Source organism: Homo sapiens, chromosome 11, assembly GCF_000001405.40.
Source record: "Homo sapiens chromosome 11, GRCh38.p14 Primary Assembly".
NCBI lineage: Eukaryota > Metazoa > Chordata > Mammalia > Primates > Hominidae > Homo > Homo sapiens.
Genome location: NC_000011.10, coordinates 118,883,756 through 118,900,493, shown reverse-complemented (window position 1 = coordinate 118,900,493; position 16,738 = coordinate 118,883,756). Strand labels below are relative to the sequence as shown.

Sequence of the window (16,738 nt, the reverse complement as noted above, 5' to 3'; positions counted from 1 at the left end):
CTTATGGGGCAGATGATGACATTTGTGGGCTTTCTCAGGGGGTACCACGTGAGTCTCCCAGGCATTTTGAGTGATCGTACTTGGGGCCTGGGATCTTCCCCTTGCCTGGGGCCCTGAGGCTGCAGGAATTGCTTGAAGACTGGTGGGCTCTGGAGATAGTGGGGGCCTGTGGGTGTGTCTGAAGGACCAGGTGATTTGGGGAACTGACCGCTTCCTAAACCTCCCCATATCCACAGCCAAACTCATCTGCCCCTCCCCAGTCACCCCTGCTCTCTTTGTCTCCCCGTTTCTGTAGGTACCCTCCCGCCTAGCGGCCCCCGGAGCAGCTCCTCAGCACCTCCCGCCAACCCTCCCAGCGGCCTCATGAACCCCAGCCTACCATTCACTTCCTCCCCAGACCCCACACCTTCCCAGAACCCCCTGTCACTGATGATGACCCAGATGTCCAAGTACGCCATGCCCAGCTCCACCCCGCTCTACCACAATGCCATCAAGACCATCGCCACCTCAGACGACGAGCTGCTGCCCGACCGGCCCCTGCTGCCCCCCCCACCACCACCGCAGGGCTCCGGGCCAGGTGCGAGGACAGGCCAGGGCCCCAGGGAGGCCAGCTGGTGTGGGCACTGGGAGCGGGGAGCACAGCTGTGGTTGTGCTGGCTTTTTTGTGCCTCTGAAGGCCCTGGGTGTGGGGGTGGAGGCTCCGGGATGCTGTTCCCACTCGCTGGAGTCATTAGGGAAACCCAGCCCAGAGCACTCGAGTGGTCTTTCCAACACCTGGTGGTGTGTCTGGCGAACTGGGCCAGAACTTGGTCTCTTGGCTTCTAGCATCAATGCCTCCAGTCCCTTCCCTCCCAGCCAGGGGAAGCCAGTGGTGAAGACTTTGACCTCTGGCACCCCCTGGCTTGGGAGTGGGGAAGGCCTGAGCCCTGCACCCTCCCCGAGCTGGGCACACCGTGCCTGACCCCCTGTCTTCTATTCCCTACAGGGATCAGCAACAGCCAGCCCAGCCAGATGCACCTGAACTCAGCCGCTGCCCAGAGCCCTATGGGCATGAACCTGCCAGGCCAGCAGCCCCTGTCCCATGAGCCCCCGCCCGCCATGCTGCCCTCCCCCACCCCTCTGGGCTCCAACATTCCACTGCATCCCAACGCACAGGGGACAGGGGGGCCCCCTCAAAACTCCATGATGATGGCCCCAGGGGGCCCCGACTCCCTGAATGCCCCCTGTGGCCCAGTGCCCAGCTCCTCCCAGATGATGCCCTTCCCCCCTCGGCTGCAGCAGCCCCATGGTGCCATGGCCCCCACTGGGGGTGGGGGCGGGGGGCCTGGCCTGCAGCAGCACTACCCGTCAGGCATGGCCCTGCCTCCCGAGGACCTGCCCAACCAGCCGCCAGGCCCCATGCCTCCCCAGCAGCACCTGATGGGCAAAGCCATGGCTGGGCGCATGGGCGACGCATACCCACCGGGTGTGCTCCCTGGGGTGGCATCAGTGCTGAACGACCCCGAGCTGAGCGAGGTGATCCGGCCCACCCCAACGGGGATCCCCGAGTTCGACTTGTCGAGGATCATCCCCTCTGAGAAGCCAAGCAGCACCCTCCAGTACTTCCCCAAGAGCGAGAACCAGCCCCCCAAGGCTCAGCCCCCTAATCTGCATCTCATGAACCTGCAGAACATGATGGCGGAGCAGACTCCCTCTCGGCCTCCCAACCTCCCAGGCCAGCAGGGCGTCCAGCGGGGGCTCAACATGTCCATGTGCCACCCTGGACAGATGTCCTTGCTGGGCAGGACAGGCGTGCCCCCACAGCAGGGGATGGTGCCCCATGGCCTGCACCAGGGGGTCATGTCCCCTCCACAAGGCCTCATGACCCAGCAGAATTTCATGCTGATGAAGCAGCGGGGCGTGGGGGGCGAGGTCTACAGCCAGCCGCCCCACATGCTCTCCCCGCAGGGCTCCCTCATGGGCCCCCCGCCCCAGCAGAACCTCATGGTGTCCCACCCCCTTCGGCAGCGCAGTGTGTCCCTGGACAGCCAGATGGGCTACCTCCCGGCACCAGGCGGCATGGCCAACCTGCCCTTCTAGAAGTCGCTGCCAGGGCTGGAGCCGGGGCAATGTTGCAAATACGATAACCTTAACAAAGTTCTTCCCCTCAATGTTGGGATGGCCTGGGTCGCGGGGTGGGGTGGAGGGGGTGGGAGGGGGCTTGTGTAGGGAGTGGCATTTGTGGAAACCAGATGTGCTGGCAGCTTAGGGGGAAGTGGCAGTGTGGGGTGGGGGATTTTGCATTGGGGTTGGTTCCATTTCGGCCACCAGGACTGCCCCTCCCCCACTCCTCCCAATTCCTATGGAGCCTCTCTATTTTACCTCTTTCCGTGCATCCCTGCACCCGCCACACCCCCTTCAGCTATGCTTTTGGAGTCCTGGATGGGAATCTGGGGGGAGAGAGGAAGGACAGGTCAGGTCTCCCCCAGCCCCTTCTGCTCCTGTCTCCTCGTGTCCGCATTGCTGGAGCTCCACCTCCCTCTTGGTTTCTCCGCACCCGCCCATTTTCCTTCTGTCTTTACCTGCTTCGTATCCTTTCCCTGCTGATGTGGCTGACCCCTCTCCCACCCCTCCCTGCAGGCGGCTGGCCAGGTGGGCAGGTGCCAGCCGGAGCTGTAAATAGAGCGCTGCGCTTTTGTGCTGGTTTGTGCGTGTGCTGTATTTCTGTGTTTTGATAGAAGTCACACAAAAAAAAAAGGATAAAAGAAACCCTTCCCCCCTTCTTCAAGTTATTGCTCCCTCCATTCCCCTGGACCCAGGGACATGCAGCCCTACATGGCCACCCACTGTTTGCAGTGTCTCTGGGTCCCTAAGGGATACCATTCCTGTCTCGTCCCCAAATGGTAAGATGACGTAAATGACCCACTCCTAAACTGAGGTCAGACCACCTAGGCTTCCACCTGGTGAGCCCTAGCAGGGCTGAGACCCCCAGGGCGGCAGCCTGTCTGCTGCTGAGTGATTCAGGGAGAACATGTGTGCACGTGCATGTGTGTTTGCCCACACCGGTGACACGGGGCCCTGGCTTTCCACTTTGGATGCCCGGGCATCCGCTGCTGCTACATCTTAGCCAGAACTTGAAGTCTTTTGTCCCAGTTTGGGATGAAGGAAAGGAGGAAGAGGCGGTGGCTGTGTGGCCCCCTTGAGTGGAGCCATGGAAGGGGTGGCATGGTGCCACTGGGGCCTGTGGCTGTAGTAGCCCTGGGCCAGGTAACCTCCAGGGCCCTGACTTTTCCAGAGGCTGCTGCCACCTACTTCTTATCAAAGAAGGGGGAGAACAGTTCATCTGAGTCAGTGCACCTCCCCTCCAGTCTCCACTCCCTGAGGATGGAATCGGGGAAACAGCATCCTGCCGCCTCCTCTCTGCCTGCCCACTCACCGGCAAGGTTGTCCCTCTGCCCAGGGCTCAGGGCCATGTACCAGATCTGTCTGTGCCCACCCAGGCACAGCCACTGCCTCCCCCTTGGCTCCCTGCTCCTACCCAGGAGAGCTCCCTATCCGCCTTTGGTCAGAGCTGAAGCCATATACGACTGGGTGTTTGTCCCCCTACTTTGGCCCCAGGAGTAAAAAAACTTCTCCTTTTCTCACTTCCTTTCCTGCCTCGGGAGGTGGCAGGGCAGTTCCCTGGCTGAGGCCTTTTGCGCCCCACCTCCAGGACCAAGGGCCATTCTAGACAGGGTGTCTTCTACCAGGACCCGTCCCTAGCCTTCCTGGCCTGGAGGGCCTGGTCTTGCACTGGCAGCTGTAATACAAAGGGAACTCGCCCCACTTCTCCCAGCCTGGTGCTGTCCTCTCGGCCCACCATCGGCCAGGTCCAGCGCTTCCTCTGGGGCTGACAACAGGCCCCTGACTCACCCCGGTCACCTCCCAGGGTCCATGGCCAGGGCCTCTGTGTTTGGGGGGCCACTTGCCCTTCATCCTGCCAGGCGCTTTGCCCGCCCTGCCTCAGCCTGGGCCCTGTGCCCTTGAGCCCTCCACCCCTGGCCCAAGACCCCCCCAAACTGTCTGACTCTGTGTTTCCTGCCCTGAGGAGAGAGGGGTCAGATTGCAGCGGGCCGAGTGCCCTCTCCGTCCCCTCTCCTCCCACCCACGCCACAGGCCAGCCTACTCTTCCCTCCATCCATGGCCACACCCCCAGCCATTTTGTACCATTATATAAATATATATATAAATATAAATATATAAATACAATATGTGAAGACATCTTCTTGGTTTTTATTTTGAAACAATTTTTAGGCTTGTTCCGGGGGTCTCTGTGCTGCCTGTACTGTATTGACCTGTTTTATAGGTGCCTTTTTATTAAAAAGAAAATTCAAAATCCAGCCTCTTGCCTCTTTGCATCTGCTTCAGACTCCCCCATCGATTACCCAGCTTGCGAGGAGATACTCAGAGAAAAAAGGGACGTCTTAGGGCTTCCTCGTTGTCCTGCCGTGAAGACACTCTCACGTGAGCCACAGCTGTTATTTCCCCAGTGGGGCCTCCCAAGGAGCTTGGCTGCTTGGCTTGAGTGGGACAAGGGCAGGGGTCCCTGACTCCCCACCTGATCAAAGGCTGGGGAGGTGGTAGGGAGCACCCAGAACTGCCGGACGGGCCTCCCACACCCCAGGTGAGCAAACAAGCACGGAGCAGCTTCCTGCGGTTCCATCTGAGTGACATCCTCACGGGGGCAGGGCACGGCTTCCTGGGGCCTGGGGACTTCCCTGCCTCAGTGTGTTTCTTACACTTCCCTGCCTAAGGTGATGCCACGGAGGGGATGGTTGAGATGACTCCCACGGGCCCCTTCCAGTCCACCTTTCTCCGTTCCGACTCTGAGTTTCCTCGGGTCTATAGCTTATGGGAAGGGAGTGAGGAGGGGACAAGCCAGCCTCCTTCCCCATCAATGCCCACAACCTCCCATCCCCTGGACCCAGCCACCCTAGGAGTTCTCCACCCCACCCCATCTCGCCTGGCGGAGGGGACCGCCGGGTTTGATTGATCCATCTCCCTCCTTGGGGTTCGGGAAGAAAGCTCTTTTCTTCCCTCTGTCGGGTTTCTTTCTTGCTTCTCGGCCTTCACGCTTCCTCAGGTCACTGGCTGGCCTCCAAGGGCACCTAGAGTCAGCCCTGCCTGCAGACCACCCAGGATCCGGTGACATGGGGTGGACCCAGCGCTGTTTCGGTCAGAGCCAGGGGCAGCTACCTGAACTCAACCAGTCTGAGCTTCCTGCTTGGTCAAGATGACTGCAGGCTTGGGGGCCTGGCAGAATGTCTGTGTTTTTAGGGACTGAGTTGTCCGAAGGCCACACTCTGCTGCCAGCTGGCCTTTCCTCAGCCTTAACCTCCACTCATCCCCTGGTGCTCAGCTTCTGGCTTTGTTTGACAGGTGGGCAGGAGGAGAGAGGGGAAGCTGTGGAGGTCAGCAGCCCCTAAGCTGATGGAGTGTGTTCTGGGAGGGGCAGGCGCTCTCCGTTGGCAAGGGCAGAAGTAGAAGTTGTTTCTTGAGCATTGGATGATTAGGATGGGAGGTGCGTGAGGTTCTCTCAGCCCAGGGGGGTGCAGATGGGTAAGGACAGCCTTCACTGTGCCTTTGAGCTGCTTTCCGCTCCCTGGGCTCCAGCCTAGCCCCAGGGCCGGCAGAAGAGCTGGCAGGGATGTTCTAGAAATGGGGGTTGGTTCCTCTAGCTACCCCAAATGAGGATACTCCTAGGACACTCTTAGCCACGGTGAGCCCTTAGGATCCCAGCTCCTGTTGGAAGGAGCATCCAGCATCACTGCCTGCCCCAAGGAAAAGCAGCAATAAAAGGGGACACTGGGACCTAGAACGTGGTGAGAGAGGTGGCATTCTCTGACTCAGAGAGACTGCTCCTGCGCCAGCTAGGGAAGAGCTGGCACAGGGAGGCAGGGCCGGTACAGCCCAGCTTCGTCAGGAGCCGCGACAGGTCACTGCGGAACTTCACGCCGGCGAAAGTGTAGAGCATGGGGTTGAGGCAGCAGTGGGCCAGGCCCAGGAACTCACACATGGTGATGGCCACGGGGAGAGAGCCATTCAGCTTGCAGGTATTGTCCACGGCCTTCAGCCTCGCCAGGGTGTCCAGGAAGATGACGATGTGGTAGGGTGACCAGCAGAGGAAGAAGATGCTTGTCACCAGGATGGCCACCCTGACTGCCTTCTGCCGCTGAGGGCGCCGCTGGGCCTGGCGCAACCTGTGCACTACCCCCACGTAGCACCAGCCCATCACCAGCATGGGCAGCAGGAATCCCGCCACATGGTAGAGGAATCGGGAGGTGAACCAGGCATGCGTTTCTGCTTGGTTCTCTTGGGAGAAGGTGCAACGTGGCAGGGAGTTGTTGTGATGGCCTTGGCTGACTTTGGCGAAGAGAATCTCTGGCAAGGCAAGGAGGAAGCCCACCAGCCAGATGGTCCCACAGGTGATGTGGATGGAGAGGAGGCGGCGGTGGCGGTAGGCATGGACGGCGTGGACAATGGCCAGGTAGCGGTCCACGGCGATGCAGGCCAGGAGCAGGCTGCTGCAGTAGAAGTTGACTTTGTGCAGGGCAATCACAGTTTTGCAGAGGAAGGTCCCCAGGACCCAGCCCACAGAGCCCTCGGCCACGGCAAAGGGCAAGATGAAGACCAGCAGGAGGTCGGCCACGGCCAGGTGGAACAGGAAGGTCTCCGTGGAACTGCGTGTCTGCCGGTGCCGCTCCAGGATCACCAGCACCAGGACGTTGCCGATCACGCCCAGGAGGAAGATGAGGCTGTAGGCCACGGGCACGAACACGGCCTTGAAGGAGGCCATGAGGGGCCCCTCTGTGGCAGGGCAGAGATGATTTTCCACCAGGGAGGTGTCGTTATAGTTGTCCAATCTGTCCAGTTCCCAGAACTGCAAGGGCAAGGAGACGGGAGGGTGAGGACCTAAGGACCTGTCTTTCCTCTCTGAGAGGAACCCTAGCTCTCTTGGAGGTTTTTTCCTACATAGGGCCCACTGACCAAATGTCAAGTTTCAAATTTCAATTTTGAACAAATCACTTTGTCTTTTCCAACTTCAGTTTTTCGCCTGTCAAAGGGACCGCATTCCTTAGAGTGGTGGTGCTGATGAAGGGAGGCGTGCGGGTGGCTGAGCTTTGTAAGTGCTGGAGGGCTGGACCCCATAAGTCAGCTTGTGTTTTTGGGTCCTCATGTACGGAAGCCTGCAGCCTTGGCGGCTGGAGTCACAGGACTTCAATTTGGGGAATGGACCTGCTTGGTACAAGGACCCATCTGTTCCAGTTCTGAGCAGAACAGTCGGGCACTGCAACTTAGCATTGTGCTGGGGACTAGGGGCGGGCGGGTGCTGACTTGGCCTGTGGGCTCCCTCCTCATGGGTCTTCCTGTTCCTGACTGTCTCTGTTATCACTGAAATGGCAGTAATAGCCTCCCATCTGGTTCAATATGCACAACCCGCTCAAGGTATGTAATATTATTCCTATTTCACAGATGTGTCTTGCTAAAGATCAGGTTTGTGTGAACCGACGTTTATCTACTTCCAAAGCCAGTACCTCCCACTGAACAACCCTGCCTGGGCTTCCTTCTAGGGGCAGCAGATGCAGGCTCCCTGCTACTTCCCATCACTGGCAACCTCCCTGCAGCTAGGAGCACTCAGAAGCAGAAAGCCCAGAGGCAGAGAGAGGCAGGAGAAAGTGAGGGCGACACGGGGAGACTGGCAGGAGAGAAGGAGAGAGCCTGCTCCAAGTGCAGGGGGTGTGCCCGTGATGTCTCCGGAAGTTCCCTCCTCCCCATCCTCCTCTTCCTCTCCCCATCACCCCCCCCCCATCACCCCAGCACTCAGGTTGTTTACCCAGCTAACCACAAAGGAAGACATGTGCCTGTTTTCACACCTTTCACTCACAGCTGTCCCCTGCACCTGTTCCTCCTCACCTCCCAGCTCTGTTCTTCCCACCCTCCCTACCCAAGCCCCTCCCCAGGCAATTCAAAACCAATTATAACCAACCTATGTGGATTCAAAATGGCAATACTATAAATGATGAACCCAGGGAGGCAGAGGATGGGATGGGGTACTCTGTCCACCAGGCTCCGGGTGGCTTAATGGTGCCCCCATTTCAGGAGAGCAAGGCACCCCCACAAGGAGGGGATGGTCACACTGGGTGCCACAGGGCTTTCTTGCCTCTCAGGAGCCACAGTTGTGGGTCACACACTCACTCCTAATGCTGAGCAGACCCATTCTCCAACCTGGGTCTTTCCTTCTGGCTCTGGGGGAATGAGGGTCTGTGAGAAGGAGGTGTGGGAGATACATCAGTGCAAGGGTAGAGCCATCTGCCAACCCTTCCCGCAGCATCCCTCTGCCATTGCCTCAGTCTGGTCTTCCTTCTCTTTACTCTAATGCTCAGGAGACCATCTCTCCATGGGTCCCATCCCCACCAGCTTCTCTACTCCTGTCCACCTCCTGCACAGAGGACAGGGTAAGTTTTCTAAAACACAAATCCCATCGCATCAATGTTCTGTTTAAAGTCCTTTACTGGTTCCCCATCACCTGTAAGCAGTGGTTTTCTTCTGCTTTTTGTCTTTATCTTATTTTTTCAACTTCACTTTTTTTTTTTTTTTTTTTTTGAGGGGGAGTTTTGCTCTTGTTGCCCAGGCTGGAGTGCAGTGGCACGATCTCGGCTCACTGCAACCTCCGCCTCCTGGGTTCAAGCAATTCTCCTGCCTCAGCCTCCCAAGTAGTTGGGATTCCAGGCATCTGCCACCACACCTAGGTAATTTTTTTGTATTTTTAGTAGAGACAAGGTTTCACCATGTTGGCCAGGCTGGTCTCAAACTCCTGACCTCAAGTGATCCCCCCGCCTCGGCCTCCCAAAGTGGTGGGATTACAGGCATGAGCTACCATACCTGGCCTCAATTTCACATTTAATAGCAAAGTCAGCTATAAGAAAAAGTCATATTTGTGATCATGTTCATCAATAGAAGATTGATTGGAGTCTGGGCATGGTGGCTCAGGCCTGTAATCCCAGCACTTTGGGAAGACAAGGCGGGAGGATCACTTGAGCCAGGGAATTTGGGACTGCAGTGAACTATGATTATGCTGCTACGCTCCAGCCTGGGTAACAGACCAAGACCCAATCTCAAAAAAAAAGAAAATGATTGGAGTAAGCCAAACTTAGTGCCATTCACACATCGCTAAATTTCAGAACTCCTGGGCACAGTGGCTCCCAGCACTTTGGGAGGCTTAGGTGGGAGGATTGCTTGAAGCCAGGAGTTCAAGACCAGCCTGCATGACATAGCGAGACCCCATCTCTACAAAACATTTTTTTAAAAAATAAAGTTTAGAACTCATTGCAGAACATCCCATGCAGTAGGATTCCATGGAATTTCTCCCCCAAACACACGCCTTTGTTTTTGTTTTTTGATAGATAGTGTCTTGCTATGTTGCCCAGGCTGGAGTGCAGTGGCTATTAATACGTGTGACCATAGCACACTACAGCCTTGACCTCCTGGGCCCAAGTGATCCTCCTCCTGCCCCAGCCTTCTGGGTAGCTAGGACTGCAGGTATGTGACAACAGTGCCCAGCTCCAAGGACTTTCTTTAGAGTACCCATGACTGTGTGTGTGTCACAGGGTTCCCCTGGAGTGGGGAGTGGTGTTGGGGCTCCAGGCTCCCCTCCTTGACTTTAAACTAGAGCTCTCCACTTTTGACTTGTGCAGTGCTTCACACATAAGCTTTCATTGAAGAAAATGGTTCTACTTTCATTTGAAAACCATGGACCTGTGGGAAGACGTCTAACCTCCCAACACAGCCTTTATGTTCTTCCCAAATGTATATTCCTCTGACCTTTCAAACTTTGTCTTCTATTAATAAATTATTGCTCTAGACCACCCCCCGGCCTTTCCCCAACACCCCAACACATTCCTGTCTCCAAACCTCTGCTTGGCCTTTTCCTTCTGTCTAGCAGGTCTTTCTTTCCAAATTTGCCTAATTTCCACCCTTCCTCCAAAGCCGAATTCAATCCCATCTTCAGACATCCTTCCCGGCTCCCCTCTTGGAATTCTCTCTTCTCCTTATGATGCGTGTGCATTTATTACAGCACCCAGGGTTGGGATGACACTTTCTAACCAGATGGCAAGGTCTCAGAAGCAGGCCTTCTGTGTCCCCCTCCCAAGGCCACGTGTTTTACGTAGGACAGACGTGTGCTGACCTGCTCTGAAAGCAGTTTCCCAGAGAAGGCCAGGAGCCCTTATAACCTGAGACTTAGACAAGTGCCTCTGCAGGGACTCACTCCGTAATCTTCTGCATTCTGCCTTCTCCCAATAACCTTGATGGCCTTGATCCTAGATCCTATCTTGAGTGCTCTCCCTCTATTGGGAGCTATTTCCAATACCGTCACTGAGCACACCCACTTGACTAATACTGGAATTCAGCAGTCTTCACGCAGAGCCAAGCCGTTCAGACAGGGAGGAGAGAAGCAGGGCCTGGGGCGGTCAGCAGGGCTGGACTCCACCTACCTTGGCCGTGCCTGGGTGAGGGCTTAGGTCCAGCCAGCCTGTCTGACCCAGAAAGCCCTGGGTTTCTGGGCTTGTCCTCCACACAAGTTCTTGCCCTTCAAAGATTCCAGACTGACTGAGTTATTGCTCATCTAAAGTCAATGCAGTGGGACATCTCCCTAGGGCTCCCATCTCCTGAGAACCAGATTTAGAGGGGGCTTGGGAGGGGCCTGTGTCTTCCTCCTTGCCAAGAGGTATTTGTCTGGCAGCGTTCAGAGAGGGTAAGATGGGAGGAAGCTGGTTTGAGGGGTGCTGGGAATTGACAGCACATCTCAGCAGGAGGTGTCAAACAGACGTTTTGGGGGTTCGGGAGTGGCACATGTTAAAGCCACTTCCCACACATAGGAGTTCTAGCTCCCCCAATCTCCCCCAAACTATGGAGAGAGGCAATAAAGCAAGGTTGGCTCCGGCCTCATGGGAAATTGAGGAATCAGGAATCCTGAATACCATGGGGCATGTGCTGCTGAAGGAAGCCCTCCAATCCCATGCCCAGAGGGAGCACAGGGCAGACCATTTGCGTGAGCGGTGTGCCCATTCTTTGACATGAAAAGCTTCTGAAACCTGAGGCCCTCGTGCACACACACACTCTTGACAGCAACATGCACCTTGCATAGACACAGGTGCCAAGATGGGCCACACCAGCATGTGGCCTAGACAGGCACCCAGCAGACAACAGCCTGGTCATGGGCCAGGGTCACATGCCCCAAAGAAGGCAAGAAACACAATGACCAGAATGAGGCTGAGAGTGGAGCTAGAATCTAGTTAGAAAATTGCTGTGAGCACTGGGGAGGAGCAGGGGCTGTAACAGTGTCCAGTATTGAGGGGCTTAGCGGGAGGTGGGGGGTGTAAGGAGATGCAAAGTGCTTGGCCTGTGGTAGGGCCCAAAATGTTACTCTTCTCCTTCCCTCCACTGTAGGATGCAGGCTCCTCCCTGGATAATTAAGTCTCCAAGCCCCACCTGACTTCTCCAAATAATGAGGCTGCCCCACTGCCCAGCACTGGCCAGCATGGAGCTCAGCTCACATTTGCTAATGGGGATTCTATGTCAGCAGGTGCATTGGGCAGGGGTGCCTAGCATGCCTCAGGGATCTATCCTGGGTCCCCTCCTCTTCAGCACTCTCAGCCCAGCTTTGGGGGCACTCTCAGGCAACACAGAGTTCTTTACAAGCTGGAACCATGGGTCCAACCTAACCAGATGAAATTGCATGGGGAAAAATATACAAGCCAGGACTCAGGTTTAAAACATTACCCGTCCAGGGATAAGTTAGGGAGGACCAGGTAACAACAGTTCGTCAGAAAGACTTGGGAGTTTGTCACCTACAAGCTTAAGATGAGTCACGGGAGTGACGTGGCCAGCCGAAGGGCCACTGTTACCTTCATCTAGGTGAACAGAGGCTTGTAAGTGGGCAGCTGACACCAGCCCAGTTTGGTTGGTCTGGACAAGGATGACCACTTTGTTGAGGGGCTTGGAAAACCCTGCCCATAGAGGAAATTTTCAGGTACTAGGGGTGTAGTGTCTGGGACAGAGAAGACTTGAGTCCCTGAGGGCTGATGTCAAGGCTTGGAAAGAAGCTCCATGGGCAAGAGGGCAGCAATGGACTCTTGCTATGAGCTTCCAGGGGGCAGTCTAGAAGGACTGGGCAGAAGCTGAGGGGGTAGCGTTTCAGTCAAAGGAGGGAGAACTTTCTAACAGACAGAACTGTCCAGCAATGAGATGGTACCTTTAGGAAGGAGAGGAACGTTTGAGCCCAAGTGTGTGGGAAGAGATTCCTGCCCTGGGAAGAAGGAGGCTGGACTCTGCCTTCAAATGCCCCTCGCTCCCACTCCCAGATTCTCTGTCTGTCCTGCCCTGCCTGGGGCTGAGCTGGTTCTCAGCATGATCTCCGTCTAGCTCAGTAGCCGGAGACTTGGTATTTCTAGTCCATTCTGCCGCCAGTGAATGCCCCAGCCTGACCTTGCTTCTCAGCCCCAAGGAGGGGGCAGGGCTGCCTGCATGCGTGGCTTACTCAGGCCGAACCCCAGGACTCCAAGGCCTGAGTCATGCTGGCCGCGGGAGGTGTCTGCACACAGACGCCAGTCATTGCTCTGGCCAGGGGGGAGCACACAAGCTCCATATCCTTTTATGTCCCTGTGTGGATATTCCCAGCCGAGAGTCAGGAGCTGTGAGTGGGGCTGGCCAGGGTATCTGTCATTCCAGCCTTCAGTGGCTTAAGGGGTGCAGGGGTCTGGAGAAATGAGACTGGGCTGTGGGTGAGGGTGTAGGTCTGTACCCCTTACCCCGTCTTTCTTCAGGAGGCCCACAGCCCCTAAAGACCATCTGAGACTCTGGCTTGCCATTTGTCACATCTCCCTTGCCGCACCCACAGCCTTCAGGGACAAGTCTGTGAGACTCCTCTTTCATCTCTACCCACGGGTTTTGGCCATCAGAAGCAGGTACTGTGCTGGATGTGGTGTTAGGGGGAGAGTTTAAGCTACTCCAAGCCTCTGCAGCAAGTCTTTAGGCTTAAGGGAGCCCCACCTGGCACCCCAGCGTCTCTTTGCCCTTTGGATACAGAGTCACACAGTCCAAGATGCAGGCAGACAGGCCTCCCAGGTGTGTGTGGCAGCCTCTTGAAACCATCTCCTGGGTTGGAAATATTTTTCCCCACCACTCTTGAAAGAATGCTCATTCTTGTGTCCTGATTCTTAGGTCCACATATGCGGCCACTGTTTCTGCCGTTCTGCTAGAGGAGTGGGATCAGCTGCAGCCTGCGTCCCTGGGGAAAGCAAGAGTTCCTGACGGAGACTCTGCAGTTTGTATGCCCGAACCCATATTCACTTTGACCCTGACCCATCCTCAGCTTGGCCTTGGGGCTCTCCCTCATCTCTGACCCTTCCAACTACACCCCAGTTGGGCCTCCTCTGCTGGGGTTCCTCTGGGACTTTTGACCTGGTTGCGGGGGGCGGGTGGAGAACCTCCCTTTCCCCTAGATGAAGCCCAGAAACAGCCTGAGCTGGTTTTGGTTCCTCTTCTTCACACCTACATGATGAAATGAGATGGTCCACGTGGACGGGCTGTGTCGCCTGTGATGCTCTGGTCACACTGAAGTCATGATGTGTGGTAATTGTCTATGGAGAGGGGTCATAGAAAGCCAGGCTCTGGGGCTTGGACCAGCTTCACCGTGCGCTATAGCAGCTTCCCCTCCCGGCTGGTGTGCAGGGTGGGGCTGGAGGTATAGTTTATGACCAGCCTCTGTGGATGCCCCAGCCCAGGCCCTGGTTCTGTTGGAAGGAGGCTCTCAGATCGAGGGTCGCATAGACAGGGTCTGCTCTAGGTCTGCCAGGATCGGCCTTTCCAGCAGGATGGGTCCCTGGCATACCCACCCCAGGACCTGGAATCTTCTTGTTCCTGGTTCTTAGCCATCTAATTTTTGTTCTATTTGGACCTTTCATTGATGAGAATTAGCAGCCCGTCCCCACCCCCCAGCCCCTGCCTTAAAGAAGTGGACATTTTAAGCGGCTCGAGTTGGTCTTCGAGTTCAAGAGGACAAATGGAATACAGAATGACGAACCTGGCTTATGGCCAGGAGCCCCCAGTTCCTTTTTTTTTTTTTTTTCTGGCAAGTTTGTGTAACCAAAAGGCCCCAGTTCTTAGCTCAACATGAGAGTGTAAAACCCAGCGTTCAAGGAATGTGAACCAATACCTGGTATGGGCAAGGACAAGGAGGAGAATAGGAAGCAGAAGGAATAGAAGGACCCAGACTAACTCCAGAGGAAAATGGTGAGCTAAGACCTTTACTGCATCACAAATCAATAAATACTTATTGAGAAGCTGCTACATGCAAGATTCTCCTGCCTGTACCACTACGCCCGAGGTTTTTGTACTGTGACACTGAGGGACAGTCTGCCAAGCTGCTCACGGCCCTTCAGTGAGTGGGTGGGGGCGGAGGAGAGGGTCTGTGTTCTGAGGGGACATTGGCCCTGGAGACAGGGTGTGTAGGAGATTCGTGAAGGGGGAACGAGGCACTGGTGGCTGGCTGAAGAGCTCCAGAGCCCAGATGGTCCTAGGACTCCTGGGCTCCTGGCTAGACCCTGAGTGAGGGATCCAGATATTGGAATGCCTGGCTGAGGATCACTCATTTGAGGTGTGACATGAAGAAAGTCACTGGGTCCCTTTCCCCCAGATGTAGGTTTTCTTGGGACATGCCCTGCTGCCCCTGCCCCCTGCCCCCACCTGTCCCTAGTAGGTCACTCAGTGAGGTGAGGCGTGCAGTTAGGGGAAACTCTTAAGGTTTCTCAGAAGCTGGGACCCGCCGGGTCTCCAGTTGGTTACTAAGATGTCCAACTGGGTCAGGGCTCGTGGTCAGTTTGAAGCTGCAGGCAGAGGAAGACGCCCAGTAACCTAATCAGGCGAGGCCAGCGGCTGTGACCGGGGGCCAGGGTGGGAGCACATTGCCCCTTTGGGGCCGCGGGTTTTTAGTCTGATTTGGGGTATTGCCCAGACTCTGTGATTAGACTCAGGGCAGCTTCATGGGCTTGCAACTGGGGCAGTCACACGGGGGCCTGCACCCAGCAGGACCCCCCACGAGGTTTAGTGCTCTGCTGTTGCCTTCTTATTTATAATAATTTTTCAACAAGGGGCCCCATGTTTTCATTTTGCATTGGGTCCCACAAATTATGTAGCAGGTCCTGGTTAGATGAATGGTCCGGCTCTGATTCCACCTACGGTTTGGATCCGAGGGGCCAGGCTTTGGGTAGTCAGCCCTTCTGCCCACTTTCTCCCCGTGTCCTACTTACACTTCCCAGCCTTGGGATCTGGGCAAGCGAGAGGCGGGCTTCTCTGAGCAAGTCTGGGAACATGGTTGGTGGAACTACAAAGTCCACTCCACAAAGTCCACTCCAGCCGGGGGAGCAGGAGGGAGTCAGACAATATCTTAGGGTAAGTTTGGGACAGGAGAGTTGGTAGGAGCCAGGGTTTGGCTCCTTCATGATCTAACCCAGAGTGCAGCCCCGAAACAAGTCCTCTCTCCAGGGGGAGAAAAGACAGTGAAGAAGTTTCCAAGAAACCCTTACAACCAGCCTCTGCCGTCGGCTCACAAGGAACCCTGTGTTTCTCTGGTTGAGCTGCTCCACACACACACACATCTTCTGGGAGCCCAGTGACAACCAAGTCAACTGCACCACTACGCTTCACTGGAGAGACTTGAGTGGTGGCAGCGTAGTGCTGGAGACCATTTTCTTAGCCCACCCAAGAAACCTTTCCAAGAATACCTTATCTCTAGAGATTCTACAACAGGTTCCAAGACATTTGTCAGATTAACAGTTTTCTCACCCTGCTCCCTGACTCCAGCCTGCTGGGATCCTCTTCCTTGCTACCATCTGGTCTCACATTCCCTCAGTTTAGCACATAATTGTTGCCTAATAGCTTCCAGTGAGTGATTTTTTTCTCTGGCCAGAGCAGAAGCTATTTGAGGGCAAAGACCAGGTCCTCAACTTCTCCACCCAACACAGAATGTAGTGCCCTGATGACATAATCATATGGCCAGAGACGAACAGCTATGCATTCATTGACTGATTAGCAATGCCAGCCTCCTTACGGTAAGAAAACCTCCAAAGTACTTTCCTGTCTAGTTCCATATTCCGACCCTAAGAGAAAAGGAGAGAAAGAATGGAGAGGTGAAGTATCCTGTTCCCAGTCACATAGCAACTCAGAGGAGGATGCAGGGCCTGAACCCGTGTCTTCCAGCTTCCTCTAAAGGATGTCTCCTAAGGACAGCAGCTCTCCTTATCTGCTTCTTCCACAGAATGGAAAATAAACTCTTAAAGGGCGGGAGCTGACTGACCTGTCTAGATTTTACAGATCCACAGTGGGAGAGGATTCCCACACTGTCCCCTCTCCCTCGGACTCTGGCAAAGGATGTTAGAATTCCAGACAGGGCCTCGGCGACAGGAAGCTACCCGTGTCTACTCACCAGGTCCTCCAGGTTCTCGAGGTCCATTTCCAGCGTTAGCGGGTAGTTCATGGCTGTGCCGGCTGTGAGTCACCAGACTGGTCACTGTCTTATGTTGAGAGGCTCCCCGCCAGGTGCCTCTAGAGAGGTGGCAGCCGTCAGCTGCAAATTTAAGCAAATGAGCTGCGCATCGTCTCCTGAGGCAGTAGGGCCGCGACCTGCCTCACAACTCATCACTTTTTTTTTTTTTTCCACTGG

The 16,738-nt window shown here is 55.7% G+C and overlaps 2 protein-coding genes and 1 long non-coding RNA gene across 11 annotated transcripts in view, besides 3 other annotated features; 2 read left to right on the top strand and 1 right to left on the bottom strand.

Moving 5' to 3' along the window:
- The window catches only part of BCL9L (BCL9 like), a 29,791-nt gene extending 25,433 nt beyond the window's left edge, over window positions 1-4,358 (top strand). For all 8 annotated transcript variants that reach the window (NR_165445.1, NM_001437465.1, XM_006718815.4 and 5 more), the window contains 2 exons: window positions 296-577; window positions 986-4,358. Coding sequence is in view for 7 of the 8 variants with exons in the window: in NM_001437465.1 (NP_001424394.1) it covers window positions 296-577; window positions 986-2,079 (1,376 nt within the window). In the remaining variant the exon portion in view is untranslated. The remainder of the gene's footprint in view (window positions 1-295; window positions 578-985) is intronic.
- Window positions 1,845-2,352: an enhancer, noted in NCBI's record as "H3K27ac-H3K4me1 hESC enhancer chr11:118768851-118769358 (GRCh37/hg19 assembly coordinates)". NCBI's record gives its function as "activates a minimal SCP1, AML or CMV promoter by ChIP-STARR-seq in primed H9 embryonic stem cells {active_cell/tissue: H9 hESC(primed)}" and the evidence as "EXISTENCE:reporter gene assay evidence [ECO:0000049][PMID:30033119]".
- On the bottom strand, window positions 2,707-16,602 carry CXCR5 (C-X-C motif chemokine receptor 5). Of its 2 annotated transcripts, NM_001716.5 has the most exons (2): window positions 16,502-16,602; window positions 2,707-6,898 (listed from the first exon to the last, which is right to left on the bottom strand). In NM_001716.5, exons 1-2 carry the CDS (start codon window positions 16,550-16,552, stop codon window positions 5,831-5,833), a joined length of 1,119 nt encoding a protein of 372 aa, NP_001707.1. In that variant the 5' UTR covers window positions 16,553-16,602; the 3' UTR covers window positions 2,707-5,830. The 2 variants fall into 2 exon arrangements, with proteins under 2 accessions (NP_001707.1, NP_116743.1); NM_032966.2 differs by lacking the exon at window positions 16,502-16,602 and having other exon boundaries at window positions 4,223-7,102.
- Window positions 3,972-4,730: an enhancer, noted in NCBI's record as "H3K27ac-H3K4me1 hESC enhancer chr11:118766473-118767231 (GRCh37/hg19 assembly coordinates)". NCBI's record gives its function as "activates a minimal SCP1, AML or CMV promoter by ChIP-STARR-seq in naive H9 embryonic stem cells {active_cell/tissue: H9 hESC(naive)}" and the evidence as "EXISTENCE:reporter gene assay evidence [ECO:0000049][PMID:30033119]".
- Window positions 11,738-12,355: an enhancer, noted in NCBI's record as "H3K27ac-H3K4me1 hESC enhancer chr11:118758848-118759465 (GRCh37/hg19 assembly coordinates)". NCBI's record gives its function as "activates a minimal SCP1, AML or CMV promoter by ChIP-STARR-seq in naive H9 embryonic stem cells {active_cell/tissue: H9 hESC(naive)}" and the evidence as "EXISTENCE:reporter gene assay evidence [ECO:0000049][PMID:30033119]".
- On the top strand, window positions 12,391-14,367 carry LOC124902767 (uncharacterized). Its single transcript, XR_007062913.1, has 2 exons — window positions 12,391-13,143; window positions 13,240-14,367. It is a non-coding gene; the product is annotated as an uncharacterized LOC124902767 (long non-coding RNA).
- Window positions 16,603-16,738: the final 136 nt, after the last annotated feature.